The sequence below is a fragment of the Homo sapiens genome, chromosome 12, assembly GCF_000001405.40.
Source record: "Homo sapiens chromosome 12, GRCh38.p14 Primary Assembly".
Classification (NCBI taxonomy): Eukaryota; Metazoa; Chordata; class Mammalia; order Primates; family Hominidae; genus Homo; species Homo sapiens.
In genome coordinates, this window is record NC_000012.12 from 32,869,515 (window position 1) to 32,885,610 (window position 16,096).

The 16,096-nt window shown below is 42.9% G+C and overlaps 1 protein-coding gene across 10 annotated transcripts in view, besides 2 other annotated features; it reads right to left on the bottom strand.

Annotated features, from left to right (window-relative positions):
• Positions 1 to 16,096, bottom strand: part of PKP2 (plakophilin 2) — a 106,023-nt gene that overhangs the window by 78,760 nt on the left and 11,167 nt on the right. For all 10 annotated transcript variants that reach the window (NM_001407156.1, NM_001407155.1, NM_001005242.3 and 7 more), the window contains 2 exons: positions 9,406 to 9,518; positions 8,332 to 9,029 (listed from right to left, as the gene is read on the bottom strand). In NM_001407156.1, coding sequence (NP_001394085.1) covers positions 8,332 to 9,029; positions 9,406 to 9,518 — 811 coding nt within the window. The remainder of the gene's footprint in view (positions 1 to 8,331; positions 9,030 to 9,405; positions 9,519 to 16,096) is intronic.
• Positions 1,538 to 1,738: a silencer, noted in NCBI's record as "peak1670 fragment used in MPRA reporter construct". NCBI's record gives its function as "represses an SCP1 promoter by STARR-seq MPRAs in K562 erythroleukemia cells {active_cell/tissue: K562}" and the evidence as "EXISTENCE:reporter gene assay evidence [ECO:0000049][PMID:32103011]".
• Positions 8,635 to 9,159: an enhancer, noted in NCBI's record as "H3K4me1 hESC enhancer chr12:33031083-33031607 (GRCh37/hg19 assembly coordinates)". NCBI's record gives its function as "activates a minimal SCP1, AML or CMV promoter by ChIP-STARR-seq in primed H9 embryonic stem cells {active_cell/tissue: H9 hESC(primed)}" and the evidence as "EXISTENCE:reporter gene assay evidence [ECO:0000049][PMID:30033119]".

Below are 16,096 nucleotides of genomic sequence, written 5' to 3' on the forward strand. Positions count from 1 at the left end.
CTTGAACCCAGGAGGTGGAGATTTCAGTGAGCAGAGATAGTGCCACTTCACTCCAGTCTAGGAGGAAAAACGAGACTGCATCTCAAAAAAAAAAAAAAGAAAGAAAAAAGATAAATATGTATCCTATGATTCTTACATCTTATAAAAGCAACTTTAAAGGCACAATAAGACTTTTAAAAGAATCCAAAAGAAATCTGTTTACAGAAATTAAAAATTATTTCTAGGCTGGGCACGGTGGCTCACATCTGTAATCCCAGCACTTTGCGAGGGCAAGGCAGGAGGATTGCCTGAGTCCAGGAATTCAAGACCAGCCCTGGCAACATAGTGAGACCCTGTCTTTACAAAAAACAAACAGACAAACAAAATCAGCTGGGTGTGGTGGCATGTGCCTGTAGACCCAGCTACTTGGAAGGCTGAGGTGGGAGGATCGCTTGAGCTTGGGAGGTCAAGGCTGCAATGAGCCTTGGTCACACCACTGCACTCCACCCTGAGCAACAGAGTGAGACTCTGTTTCAAAAACAAACAAACAAAATAATGACTAAAGACATGCTTTAAAGGTAATTTAGGAGTGTTCTTTGGCTTCAAAGAGGGTTATACCTGATTCATTCCAGGTAACATTCCAGACACATTCATTCCAGACACTGGAGACATCCTGAGAAGGAGTTTTCCAATATCTACTAGCAAGCATAGTGAGTAAATACTCTTTTCTATTAGGCTAACCCATGAATACATGCACATGTGTACAGGTGTTAGTGTGTACAGCCTTATGAAGGGTGTGCCTGTGTGTGGGTGGGGGCGGTGCAGGTGGGGTGATAAGGAGTAATGCGCCTCATGACCAAAAACTAATACCCCCTGCTTCTGAAACACGTGTTCAAACACAGAAGGGTTACCTCATAAGTATAAAGGGTATTAAAAGTGAAGCAGAAAATCTCTGGCATCTATACTGAGAATTATATAATGATCTCATATTTTTAATGTGCCTCATGAGTCAATTATAATTAGTAAAAAAAAAATGCAGGCTATTACCACTAAAACTAGAATTTGAGTCACTTTTATCTAATATTTTTATCTAATATTAGAGGATATTACACCTTTTAAAGGAGATGGGAATATTTTACATTCATGGACTGAGGCCTTTACAGAGAAGTCAAAACTCTGTAAGTCTAGTCTCAAGCTCAATGGCAAAGTCTTTGCCAGCCATCACGGTTGTTTTAACTGATGAAAGATCATTCATAAGAACAGCCTTCTGTTATGCAGCTTTTTTTTTAAAAAAAGATTGAGCCATTAATCCATTTCATAAGCCATACATGACTCAGGAAAGTTTGAATTTCCCATCTCTAACACCCACAAATAATTCCACTACTCTAATCCTTTATTTTCCTGAACATGATTCACATAGAAGCTCTGTGTTCACACTTAGGCAATCCAATGCGATTTCACTTTATCACTAAAAAAATTCCTAAACTAAGTGAAGACTTCCTCAGCAAGGTTTACTACAGCTGTCAGGGGGTCAACTTTCTGTTTGACTATCTATCAAGTCCAACTCCATAACACGGCATACATTCTGGCCCAAGTCTGACTCCATTTCCTGTCATCCTCAACCTCTTTTCCTCCCCCTCCTTGGATCTACTACACCCCTCCAATCACACCAGGCTTTTAATCCTTCTCTAAACACTGCCACCTTCTTCACAAGCCACCTTCTTTGACTTTTCCAGGAAGCTTATCATACTACCTAATTCTCACCCATTCTTCAAGACTCAATTCAAGTATCTTCATTTCTTCTTGTTCTTCTTTTTTTAGAGAGACAGTCCTATTCTGTTTCAGGTGTGAGAGTGCAGTGATGTGATCATAGCTCACCATAACCTCAACCTCCTGGGCTCAAGCGATCCTCCCACTTCAGCCTTCTGAATAGCTGGGACTACAGGTGCACGCCACCATACCCGGCTAATTTTTTTTTTTTATTTTTTTTGAGACGGAGTCTTGCTCTGTCACCCAGGCTGGAGTGCAGTGGCACGATCTCGGCTCACTGCAACCTCTGCCTCCCAGGTTCAAGCAATTCTCCTGCCTTAGCCTCCAGAGTAGCTGGGATTACAAGCACCCACCACCACGCCCGGCTAATTTTTCTATTTGTAGTAGAGATGGGGTTTCACCATGTTGGCCAGGCTGGTCTCGAACTCCTGACCTCGTGATCCACCCACCTCAGCCTCCCAAAGTGCTGGGATTACAGGCGTGGGCCACCGTGCCCAGCCACATTTTTAAATTTTTTGTAAAGATGAGGCCTCCCTATATTGCCCAGGCTGGTCTCCAACTCCTTGTCTTAAGCAATTCTCCTGTCTCAGCTCAAATATCTTCATTTCTGTGAAATCTTTTCTGTACCCCATCCCCTAGAACAGCTAGAGCTATTCTTTCCTCTATTCTCCTATAGCATTCCCCCGTTCCAACTCCTTTTCTCTGTCTTCCTCCCTCCTTCTCTCTCTCCCCACTCACTTATAAAACATTTCTTGAAGGCTGCAGAAATGTGTCTTGGGAGATGGCGATGGGCCTGGGCTGGAGGATCAGGAAGAGAAGTTGTTCCCTAGCCCCACTGACCCCTGAACATATTCTCCAGAAGTAAGTCATTTCAACAATTTTTTAAATGATATCAGTATAAATTTAAAAATGTAAGAGAAAGCAGTGTAAACTACCACTGGTCAGAATACGAGACATTACAGGGGGAGAAAAAAACCCAGTAACTTGGCCGGGCGGTGGTGGCTCATACCTGTAATTCCAGCACTTTGGGAGGCTGAGGTGGGTGAAGCACCTGAGGTCAGGAGTTTAAGGCCAGCCTGGCCAACATGGTGAAACCCCGTCTCTACTAAAAATACAAAAAATTAGCTGGGCGTGGTGGCGGGCACCTGTAATCCCAGCTACTTGGGAGGCTGAGGCAGGAGAATTGCTTGAACCTGGGAGATGGAGGTTGCAGTGAGCCGAGATCGTGCCATTGCACTCCAGCCTGGGCAACAAGAGTGAAAGTCTGTCTCAAAAAAAAACAAAACAAAACAACCCAGTAACTTGTGTGCGTGTGTAATCTCCCCGTAGCCAGCATTCCTGCCAACTAACAACACAGCCCTGCCCAGGCTGGTTCCCCTGATATTAGAATATGGCTACACCTCTGAAGGCAAAGCAAACATAAAATGATGAATGGATAGCTCCTACAAGTATTGTCAGACGCTCAGTAAATGCAAATCCCCACAAATATTTTAAAGTAGGATGAAAGCAATGCTTTGGAAAGATGACTCTGGAATGGATATGTGTTTCTTGAAAGAGAGACAGCGTTGAGGGCACTATAAAAGGTTCAGCTGAGGCAAAAAAGCCTTGAACTGGGCTGTTAAAAATGGAAATGGAAAAAAAAGGTAGAGTTGAAAGAGATGAAAAATTAAAGAACTAAAGCAGGTAGTAATTAAGAGGACGTGGAGGGAAGTCAATATGATCTGTTTTCTGCTCTGCAGTGCTCTTGGTCACAAATTTGACTGTCAATCCTAGAGAAGATCCACCCTCTCTGCTTAGTCTCCCTCAACTAATCCCAGAGCACGATGCTCTTGTGGGTTTTGTTTGTTTTGCTTTGAGACAGGGTCTCACTCTGTTGCCCAGGCTGGAGTGCAGTGTCACGATCATGGCTGACTGCAGCCTGGACCTCCCAGGCTCAAGTGATTCTGTTGCCTCAGCCTCCTGAGTAGTTGGGGCTACAGGCATGCACCACCATGCCCAGCTAATTCTTGTACTTTGTAGAAGTGGGGTTTTGCCATGTTGCCCAGGCTGGTTTCAAATTCCTGGGCTCCAGCAATCTGCCAGCCTCAGCCTCCCAAAGTGCTGGGATTACAGGTGTGAGCCACCATGCCCGGCCCTGCTCTTGTGTTCTTTAAATTTCTGTAGACACTAATATGTATCACACAACCTAGCACTTGATGATATATCCTATTTTTCACTGCTCCTCTCCTAGACCATCATACATCTCACTCAATTTTCATCTTTTATTTATTTAATTATTATTTTGGAGACTGAGTCTTGCTCCTTCGCCCAGGCTGGAATGCAATGGCACGATACCAGCTCATTGCAACCTCCGCCTCCTGGGTTCAAGCAATTTTCCTGCCTCAGCCTCCTGAGTAGCTGGGATAACAGGCATCCACCACCATGCCTGGCTAACTTTTGTATTTTTAGTAGAGACGGGTTTTCACCATGTTGGCCAGGCTGGTCTCAAACTCCTGACCTCAAGTGATCCGCCCACCTCGGCCTCGTAAAGTGCTGGGATTACAGGCGTGAGCCACCGCGTCCGGCCCATTTTCATCTTTTGTGATGCTTACTGGGAAGGACCTATGAAGATCCTACTACTCATTTGCAGAACCATCAGCCTCCAACTGGTCATAAATCATGGTTTTAGAAAAATTCATCTATAATTTTTTTTGTGGTGATTCTTAAAAACCTTTTTCATCAGTTTGATTTAGAACATCGGTTTCATCAGTTTGTCTCTCTCACACTCCAAGTCTCAGTTTTTAGCTGCATTAGTAACTGTTTAACCAGCCATTCTTCTTTTGGAAAGCCAGGTCCATTGTTTAATACCTTAAGTCATTATGCAGGTTTATGGTTTTGTCCAGTTAATATTCAACATATATGAAAGAATACTCCTTTACATGTGGGAGTTTCACTAGGCATAAAAACTTAAATCCCCCCCAAAAAAGGGCTGGACAAAGTTTGACAATGCGGGACCAAAGAGAACACAGTGTGTGGTCTCAGGGCAGGTGTCCCAGGGAGCAGCCTGGGGAACTGAAATGAGGCGTGGAGCCCAGCAGAGGAAAGGGGGAGGTCAGACAGGCACAGGCACCACCTTGGGCATCTATCTTCCTCATTACACAAAATACGTCTGGCTCCCTCTCCTTTTCACAGAGAGCCAAATTTTCCTTTCATAATCAGAGAAAAAAAGTTGATTTCTATGATTTCTACTCTCTAGAATTTGGGGAAATCTCAGGAAGAGATTTCTTACTCATTATTTTTAAATTTCTTGACCCCAAGTGTTCCTTCTACTCTTGGAAATATGATTAAATATTATAATACAATTTACCCTGTCTATTAAAACAATAATCCAAAAATAGTATGACTAATACTTCTAGAATTTGAGCAACAAAAGAACCTAGATGGCAAAAAGTAAAATTTATATTTCATTTCTCCTTCCTTTAATTCCTTCACTCTTTCACCATATACTTATTTTTTGAAAGAAGATCTCATTCTGTTGCCCAGGCTGGGGTACAGTGGCACAATCACAGCTCACTGTAGCCTCAACCTCCCTGGCTCAAGCAATCCTCCCACTTCAGCCTCCGGAGTAGCTGGGACCACAGGTGGGCACTATCACGCCAGGCTAAGTTGTTTATCTTTAATAGAAGTGGGGTCTCGGGGTCTCCCTATTTTGCCCAAGCTGGTCTCAAACTCCTGGGCTCAAGCGATCCTCCAGCCTGGGCCTCCCAAAGTGCTAGGATTACAGATGTGAGCCACTGTGCTGGCCTCATCATATATTTATACAGTGCCTACTATAGGCCTACTTCCATTTTAGGGTGCTGAGAATATAAAGATGATTGAGCATTCACAAAAATCTCAAAGTCCAGAGGGAGAACAGATAAGCAAATGAATAGCCACAATATATTTTTCTGATAGAGACACTCACACAAGGCTGCTATCTGGGGCACCTAAGCTAGACTGGGAAGGAAGTGGTCAGAAAATAGGTGGTATCTGAGCTAAATCCAGAATTATAAGTAGTCAGACAAAAGTAGAGCTGCATATGTAAAGGTGTGGAGTGGGGGAAAAGAAGGAAAGAGAGAGAGAATGAATATGGATAAATATCTTGCATTAAGGAAAGTAAAGAGGTTCCAGGTGGTTTGGGTATTGGTATGTGGGTATGTTTGGGGATGGTGGTGATGAATGGCAGAGAAGAGTAGAAGGAGAAGAGGCTGAAGTGATAAGCAGAGCTGAAAACACAATGGGGCTTGTAGGTCATGCCTAAAAGCATGAACACTTAGTGGAATTATGGAAGGGTTATAAACAATCACATGTGGAAAGATAATTCTGACAGTCCTAGAGAACGGTTCTGACTGAGCAAGACCAGAGGCAGAGAGCCCTGTGTAATGGAAATGGAAAGAAGGGTAAAAATTCAAGACCCATCATAGAAGGAAAAATATGGCTTGGTGATAGGTGACTACAGAGGGAGAAGATAAGAATGACTTCCAGGTTTGAAAATAGTAGACTACAGCAGGAGGAGATGGGTGGAAGTTGAGGATAGGGAGATGATGAGTTTAGTTTAGGATATACTGAGTGTGAAATTTCCAGGAGGTTGTTACATTTTCATATAGGTCCAGAATTTGGCATCAAGGATGGAATTGCAGACAAAACTTTGAGAACCATAAGGATAAAAGTGAGGTACACAGAGCCTCTCTGGAAGAGCATCAAGACTTGGAATAGAAGGGTTACTGAAGATGCCTTCTTTGAGCAGGCAGAAAGGGAGCACGCAGAGAACACTAACAAAGAATGGCTGGAGAGGTGAGTGGAAAACCAGGGGAAGCTGGTGCCCTGAAAACCAAGGGATGAGAGAATTTCATGGTGTCTCAAACACCACCCACAGGTTGAGTAATATAAGCAGTGCTTATATTACTCAATATAGTGTCTGCTTAGGATGTAGCAGATAAGGCCATCATTGCTACATTTGTCAGGAGACTGTTTAGGTGGAATGGAGGGGACTGAAATCATATTGCAGTGGGTTGACGAGAGACTGGGAAGTGACAGGGTGGTTCAAGAAGCAAGGGACACAGAGATGGAGGGAGAGAATGCCAGTTGTTGGAGGATGTCAGATAATAATTTTGTTACTGTTAAAATCATTTTGCTAAAACTGTGGCTATCACAAATCCTAGGCTATGGTAGGCATTCCATAAATTTTGAATTACCTGTTTAAAAGCCTTTATCAGCTTTTTCCTCCATAAACAATGACCTGATACACTTTCTCTTTTTTTTTTTGAGACAAGGTCTCACTGTGTTCCCCAGGCTGGAGTGCAGTGGCACAAATCTTGGCTCACTGCAACCTCCATCTCCTGGGCTCAAGTAATCCTCCCGCCTCAGCCTCTCGAGTAGTTAGGACCACACGTGCACACAACCACACCCAGCTAATATTTGTATTGCTCGTAGATATGGGGTTTCATCATGTTGCCCAGGCTGGTCTTGAACTCCTAAACTCAAGTGATTCGCTCGCCTGGGCATCCCAAAGTGCTGGGATTACAGGCCTGGGCCACTGCTCCCGGCTTATTTTTCCTCTTTGTAAGTATGCTCATATTGCCTAAGGTCTGCTTACTATAAGAAATGTTAGAAATCTCATGGTGAATTTTACATCATAAAAAATATTTCCTGTGTTAAGATTAGATTAGCCCTCATCATTTTGAGAAGTAGTTTATTAATGATGCTACCTGGTCAGTGAGCATGCTGTACAATTTCACTTGAAGGGATGTTTAGAGGTAACAACTATCATTAGACAACTTTAGCAATCAAATGACAATAACATATCTAATGTTTTAGCCTAATGATGTTAGATCATTATTGCAGGAGTTACTGATCTAATCAGCCATCCATTTCTCAATCTTTCTCTTAGTAACGTGCACAGTTTATAAAATTTGTGATCAGGCATTAAACTTGAATAAGGGTTAAGTTCCAAACACTAAATTAGTCAAGCTATAAAGTAAATAGGAATGGAAAGGAATGACTTAAAAATTCAGTTATTTTAATAATTTAATACTGCCAAAAGAATACCCCTTCAAATCACTGACACTAGAAATCTAAAAGGTACCAAGTACCAAAGGAAGAAAAAAGACATCTAGAAGTCAGCCATCTTTCCTTAGCTCTTTTTACAGTCATAGTTATCCAAATGGCATTCGTGCTAAGAATAAGCATTTTTTCCTTTTATTTCATGGGATGATGAAGAAAATACGCATGCAATTCTCCAATTCTTGGCCTACTTTGGAGTTTAGAGCAGATTTTCATATGGCTGAGGGGTAGGGTCCCTTCAGCCAGCATCTAATCTGGAACAGATGGACTAAATGTCACATTTCCATACAAAGCTGCCATGTGAGCAGGTAGCTTGGCCCCTGTCCCTGAGGTAAATAGGCTGATCTGTCAATTAGGCAGCTGCCTGAAAAGTCATTATTTTAATCACTTATCTCTGGAAGCCCTTCTCTCAAGCCCCAGAAGTGCCAGCTCATGCTGTCAGGGCTGTGGGAACAGAATGTGCTGGCAATGACTGAACTGCAGAGTCAGGAGGGGACTTACCCCAGCTGGGAGTCAGTGAAAGTGCTTCTCTCAGTGAGCAGATTCCCACTTCCCCCTGCGGCCGCCTGGCCGACAGTCAAGTGCGCTCTCCTCCCGCTGGAATCCACGGCGACACTGGGCCCAGCTTCCCTCAGCGTGCGGGTGCTGTGGAAGGAGCTCTGATGCCAGGAGGACCTGGAAGCCCTGTTCTGAGTGACGGGCTGCAGGGGCACCAGCGGCCTGACCTGCCCGACAGTGAGCCCTGCCGTCAGGTAGTTCTCCTTCTCCAAGAGGTTGCCCATGCTGCGGCTGGTCCCTGGCCTGGGGTACGTGAGCAGGGCCGGGTTGGCAGGGATGCTGTCAAAAACGGTGTCGCTAACAGAGCCATGCTGGTACTGTCTGTGGTATGTGTCAAAGTGGCGCTGCCTGCTTGTGGTGCCAGCACGGCTGACCCCCACGATCTCGGAACGAGCATATCTCGGTGGCACTAGGAGGGCGGCCCGCCTGCTTTCTTGGTGGTGCAGGGTGTGCCCAGCCTGGCTTCTCTGGCTGTACTGGTAATCGCTGTGCGTGTAGTGAGCCCTCTCCGGGCTGCTGTCAGGAGAAATCTCCAGTCTCCTCAGAGGATGCCTCAAGGACCTTTCTTCCACGGACTTCTGGGAGCTGTACTGTGCTGTTCCTCTTCCCCAGCGACCTTCATAAGTGGCAGTTGTGCCAGCCTGCACATGAGAGAAATAAAGTTTAAAGGGGGCATAAATCAAATTTCAACTTTGCTGAGGACTAATTACTCTGGGACTATTACCCAACATGTCCGTTTCTCTGAATCAGATGACGAGAAGTTTGCCCCTTTCTGGGTAAAGGCTTTTTGAAAATAAGACTTGGTTGACTTGAGTCATATTTATTTGCACTAGGATGTAAGAATGTTTCACATCCCTAGTTTTCCATGGTATCCTCATAAATATCAATTTTCTCAAAACTCATTTAGGAAATGATAATACTTGGGAAAAGTAAACACTCAAAAATAATCTTAGGAAGTTTGAAAATATTTTCATGGTAGTAATCTGATCACTAGGGTTACATTCTTTGATATCCTACCTTTAGCATGTCATAGGTTTTAGGAACAGGGGAACGGCCTCCAACAAAATCATTTTCAACCAAGTGTAGGTTGTAGACATACTCAGGAACACTGCTGGTTCGGTGAAGATTTCCTGCAATCAAGCAAATATTAAAATAACTCAGAATACAAGTAGGCTAATTAATATTTACAGACTGTATAACAATGATGTATTAAACTTTTAAATTTAAGTAATGAAGGCCAAGAACAAGTATTAAACGTACGTTAATGTTTTTAAATGCTAGTTTCACACCACCCTGGGATATGGCAAGTGATCAAAGGTTATCAAAACATTCTCTACAAAAGTTTTTCAGCTGGGTGTGGTGGCGCACGCCTCTTATCCCAGCACTCTGGGAGGCAGAGGCAGGTGGATCACCTGAGGTCAGGAGTTCAAGACCAGCCTGGCCAACATGGCGAAACCCATCTCTACTAAACATACAAAAATTAGCTGGGCATAGTGGCGGGCATCTGTAATCCCAGCTACTCAGGAGGCTGAGGCAGGAGAATCACTTGAACTCGGGAGACAGAGGTTGCAGTGAGCCAAGATCACACAATTGCACTCCAGCCTGGGCAACAAAAGTGAAACTCTGTCTCAAAAAGAAAGTTTTGGCTGGGCACGGTGGCTTACACCTGTAATCCCAGAACTTTGAGAGGCAGAGGTGGGTGGATCACCCGAGGTCAGGCATTCAAGAGCAGCCTGGCCAACATGGTGAAAGCCCCTCTCTACTAAAACTACAAAAAATTAGCTGTGCGTGGTGGCAGGCACCTGTAATCCCAACTATTCGGGAGGCTGTGGCAGGAGAATCGCTTGAACCCAGGAGGTGGAGGTTGCAGTGAAGCTGAGATTGCGCCATTGCACTACAGCCTGAGCAACAAGAGTGAAACTCTGTCTCAAAAAAAAAAAAAAAAAGTTTTCAAAATGAAAGTTGAATTTAAAAAAAGAAAAAGAAGGGAGAGGAAATTCACAAAAATCTAAAAATGTTTGGTTGTTATAGTGCTGAAAAATTTGGGACTCATTGTCTGGTTTAGCTGGTCGAGACTATAAAATTCAGTTTCCCGAGTCACAGAACTCTGTTCCCAAGGCAGGAATTCGGAAGCTTCTTGTAATAAGCAGGTGTAGGCAATAAATATAATGGTGACTCAGCACTACTAGATAAGACAGCTTGTATAAACAACAGGATAGGCCGGGCGTGGTGGCTCACACCTGTAATCCCAGCACTTTGGGAGGCCGAGGTGGGCGGATCATGAGGTCAGGAGTTTGAGACCAGCCTGGCCAACATGGTGAAACCGGTCTCTCCTAAAAATACAAAAATTAGTCGGGGGTGGTGGTGGGCGCCTGTAATCCCAGCTACTCGGGAGGCTGAGGCAGGAGAATCGCTTGAACCCGGGAGGCAGAGGTTGCAGTGAGCCGAGATAGCGCCACTGCACTCCAGCCAGGGCGACAGAGCAAGACTCCTGTCTCAAAAAAACAAAAACAAAAGCAAGAAAAACAACAGGGTAGATCAGCATGATCAAGGGAAACATGGATCAACTTCAGGCCAATGCTGGGGTTGAGATATTTGGCAACAGGAGAGTTAGGCAGGAAAGGAAATCAACCTCTATGCTCCATCCAAATGGCTGCTTTTGTGGAATCACCTGGCCCCTCTTTTGTTTGGTGGTCTAATAGCCAGCCCACTCTCATGAAAACACAGACAGCAGCCAGCCCTTTGTGCTCAGCTCTGTGAAGCCTACAGGGATTCAACTGATGCCTGTCTCATATATCTTCACATACTCCTGTCTGAGGAGGGGGGAGTGGTGGAAAGCAGTATGTTGTGTCCCTCTTCTGCCTCCTTTATCCTTCTCTCAGCTTTTTTTGAGTTTTCTCTTACTGCCTTAAAAAAAGGCTAATCAAAATAATCAACAATCTCCAAAAGCCAAGTAATATCTACTTTCTTACATTTAACTGAAATTTTTTTCTGTCATGTAGCATTTTTTAGAAATCAGAGGGAAAATATACTCAATTAACTCTTCTAGGCTTCAGAGACTCATGAAAGATGTTGAGAATACAACAACACAGGGTGCTCCTTTCCAGTACAATGGGAACACATCAACATAACTTTTCCAATAAACTGTTATAAAGACAAAATTTCAAAATACTGATGATACATTCAAGGGGAGGGAGAATGGTAATTTGAAATTATTTTTGCCAGAGAGCTAAAAAGTCTAAATCCATCCTAAATTATGTTTGTACACGTGTCCTTATTTCCTATAGCCAAACAATCTGCCTGATAAACAATTTTCAGGCCTCAAGGAGTCTTGTGAGGAGGCAGTGGCAGGCTTGTAACTGTCACCCTAGAGACAAGAGCAGTTGAGATAAACCAGGCATCTCCTGTTTCCAGGGGCTTGATTTCTCCACAAGGGCTGGCAAAAGGTCAGGCAGCCACTTAATTTTTAATCTCTATGGCAAAGAACGGCTGGAACTTGGACCTTAAATAAAGAAAAAAAATTTTTTTCTATAAATTTTATTAGAGATGGAGTCTCGCTATGTTGCCCAGGCTGAACTCCAACCTCTGAGCTCAAGTGATCCTTCTGCCTCAGCCTCCCTTACTTGAAAGCAATCTTTTCCATGACCCGACAGCCAATTTAAGAGAGAAATCAAGGACACATTAACAGTTGGATCCTTAAGGACGCTGACATTTATTATTATAAGTAAGTTGAAAGCAACTCATATTATTATTGTTATTATTATTTTTTCAGACGGAGTTTCGCTCTTGTTGCCCAGGCTGGAGTGCAATGGCACGATCTCGGCTCACTGCAACCTCTGCCTCCTGGGTTCAAGGAATTCTCCTGCCTCAGCCTCTGTGAGCCACCGTGTCTGGCCTCATATTATTATTTTATGTTGGCTGAGGCTCGCGCCTAGGCTAACCCTTTATCCTCTACTCTGCACTCCTTCTCTCCTCCCCAGGCCACTAGGGAGGTAGGCCTGCAAGGGCCAGGCTGCTGTGGGAAAGGAGGCTAGCAGGCCAGGTACAGGGAACATAAAAAGGTTCTAATCCTGAAGAGTCCGGGGGCCAGAGTACCCTCAGCACTGGGAATATGCAGAAAGGGGAAGGGTTCGGGGTAGAGGGATGTGGCTGGGGAGAGTGCTTACACTATCCCCACCCCCAATAAAACAAGCCTTTGTACAAAGCCCACAGCCAGGCAGAACATTATTAGTTAGCTGATACATAAGAAATCCAATTTACTGTCTTTATAAAAATTAGTTTAGGGCTATCCATGTTCAAACCTTTAGACCACATGAAAACTGAATTAGGAAAGTCAGGGACAATCTAGAATGGCAAAGTACTAATGGTCATTTATGGACCGTAGCTGGAACCATTAATTCCTGTTACTCTATAATAAAACGGCAGGTGATGAAAGCAGGCAATTTTAGGAATTCAAGAAAAACTCTGTAAATCAGCCCCTTTAGCCCATCATCACCTGGAATATACCCTTGCCCTAATTCCAGGAGTAGGTAGATATTCAGGAACAGTTAATGGCGTGCTTCTTCCATCTTTAAGCTGAGATCCCTGCAAAGGTTTTCTAAATGTGTAAGAATCTTTGGACAGGACCCAGTGAAACAGTATCTCCTATCAAATAGCTAATTAATCAGTGAGATTTATAATCAGGTTTATTGAACTAAAATGTTTAACTGACATTAAACATTCAAGTTGTTGCTGTGAGTTTTAAGCCTTTTTAAAGCAACTTGTGTGAACTCCTTACATTTCAATGTGACTTTTCCTTTAAGGAGCTCAAATTATTTTATGTTCCTTTATAATATTCTGTGATGCGGAGCCAGCTACTATCATCTCTGTTTATAAATAGGGAAACTTAAATTACCTGCTTTAAATTGCAAAGAGATTTAATAGTCAGGGTTGATTATTAAATCAACCTGGGTTCCTCCTTTCCCCTGGTCTCTGCTGTCTGACTGCAAGGTGGCTACTATGACATTGTCATTTATCAAGGCCTTAGAGGGATTATTATTATAGTTTTGATCTGAGGACAAAAAAATTATTTTTCTTTCCTCTAAAACCTTCACTTACGCAACTCCAAATACTCTGTAAATATTAATTCTTTATTTGCCAACATAAGTTCTTAGAAGAAAGCTGCTTCTTCAGTTTTCAGATGAATGAACTGAGGCTGTTTTAATGGTTCGCCAAATAACTACAAAGTAGTTGGAAACAGGGAAAAAAATAAGATTGAATTTTTAAATCACAGACACTCTCCCTGTGGAATACACATGAAAGATGTGACTCCAGATATTCAGCCTGCAAGTTGGCACAATCGATGGTTTTTCTGGATAAATAGCCAATCTCAAACAACAAATACTGCAGACTAATTTGCCTAGGCAGTCATGAGTTTGAGATCAGTATGCTGGATTAAAGATGAATTAATAGCTGTGTTCTAAGATTTTAAAGAAATTTTGGACTGAGTAAAATTTTTTTAAAGTAAATACTAATAAGGATGGAAATGAATTTCTTTAAAATAAGTCATTTTCTGTTCAGAGAATAAGATGATATCGTGATGACCGTTGAACATATAAAATAACTCAGCCATGTCCTTTTCTGAAAATAGAAGAAAGCAAACAAAAACATACACAAAGGTGCATCCAGCTTTAAACAAATCCAACATGAAAATCCAGATTTTCTTACACTGAAAATTGAGGTGTGATTCTATTTCAAAGGATTTGTTTATTTCGAAAAAGAAGTAGGCATCTTCCCTACATTGAAGAAATCCGTAGGCTTCATCTGGAACCCCTATTCTACCGCTTTGTATGTGTCTGGACAAATCAGTTAGATGCCTGTTTCCCGTAATTCCAGCTACTAATAGGACTGCTGAGAGAGAGGGTTTACCTGAGAAAGCATAGACTCAAACGCTTTCAAAATTGTGAAGTGATGGGTTTCAGGACGTGTCATCCCAAAATATGGCACTTGGCATTTGAGGAAGCAGCAGGCGCAGGAAGTGTATCCTTACGCCTTCCTCTCACCCCTTCTCCCTTGAAGCAGACCATATAAAATCAAGCTGACCTTCCTTTGAATTAGGTCAAAGACTCATTCCAGAAGGATCCTCCCTATACCTGGAGGAAAGGAATGTCATAAAGGGAAGAATTTGAACAAAGAAGCCTTGCTAAATTCCCTCAGTTTATTACCATTAGATCAGGCCCACCTTTGTCTCATCAGACTTCTGCATGACTGTCTATAAAAATACAGTCTTCTGCCAGGCAAGGTGGCTTACGCCTGTAATCCTAGCACTTTGGGAGGTCCAAGTGGGCAGATCGCCTGAGGTCAGCAGTTCAAGACCAGCCTGGCCAGCATGGTGAAATCCCGTCTCTACTAAAATGACAAAAATTAGCCGGGCGTGGTGGCAGGCACCTGTAATCCCAAGTACTTGGGAAGCTGAGGCAGGAGAATTACTTGAACCCAGGAGGCAGAAGTTGCAGTGAGTCAAGATCACGCCATTGCACTCCAGCCTGGGCAACAGAGTGAGACTCCATCTCAAGAAAAAAAATAAATATACAGTCTTCCCTGTTTCTTTGGGTCTTCATTTCTGAAGACTCCCATGCCACATAAAACTTATATTAAACAAATTTGTTATGCTTTTCTCTTTTTAATCTGTCTTTTGTTATAGGGGTCTCAGGCATAAACCTGGTGACGGGTAAGAAAAGAAAACTTTTCTCCTCTACACAAGCAATATGCAAAAATGAGATAAGGTTTCTAAATAGAATTTGAGTCATAAAAATTTGATTTTCACATTTTTTCATGAATTAGTCTATTCTAATAACAGGGATAAACTAGTGTGCATGGTTTACACTGTGTTGTAGAGCAGTTTTTTTTTTTTTTCTGCTAAGTTTACCACTGGTCTTGAATTGGACTTTTTCTGGTGACTTCTGATTGACCCGTCACTGAGGAGCACGATGATATTACTGTGTTTTCCAGCCATTCATTTCACCTGCACAGTGCATAATGTGCTTTCGATGTTTCCTAAAGAAGGGGATGATTTACTAGGAAATATTTCAAATTAACATGGGCTCAGGCAACATTACCTATACTTTTTTCTAAAAATACCATGCACATTTTATGGAGCCCATTTTAAGGAAAATAAAGTAGGTAGTTGCAGAGCAACTTTAAACTCCACTCTTCTCAAATAACAAGCAATTCAGGTCAAACCAATTGCGGGGGCGGGTAATGGTGAAGGAGGTCTGTTTGGATGGTGGTAGGATTCTAAATTCCTCAGAAAATTGCAGAGGTGAAGCCGTCACAGGACAATGTAATTTTCTCCCTTTCCCAATCTGAGTGTTCATTGGAATGATATGATTCCTAAGCAGCTGTTATGGAAAAAGAAGCTTTGTGTTTGGTCACCAATACAAACATTGCTCGAAATAATGAATTATTGTCAGGGTTAAAATAGTCAATAAGGCCAGGCATAGTGGCTCACGCCTGTAATCCCAGCACTTTGGGAGGCCAAGGTGGGCAGATCACTTGAGGTCAGGAGTTTGAGACCAGCCTGGCCAACACGGGGAAAGCCTGTCTCTAAAACATAAAATACAAACCCTGTCTCTAAAATACAAAAATTAGCTAGGTGTGCTGTTGGGCACCTGTAATTCCAGCTACTTGGGGGCCGGGCTTGAACCCAGGAGGCAGAGGTTGCGGTGAG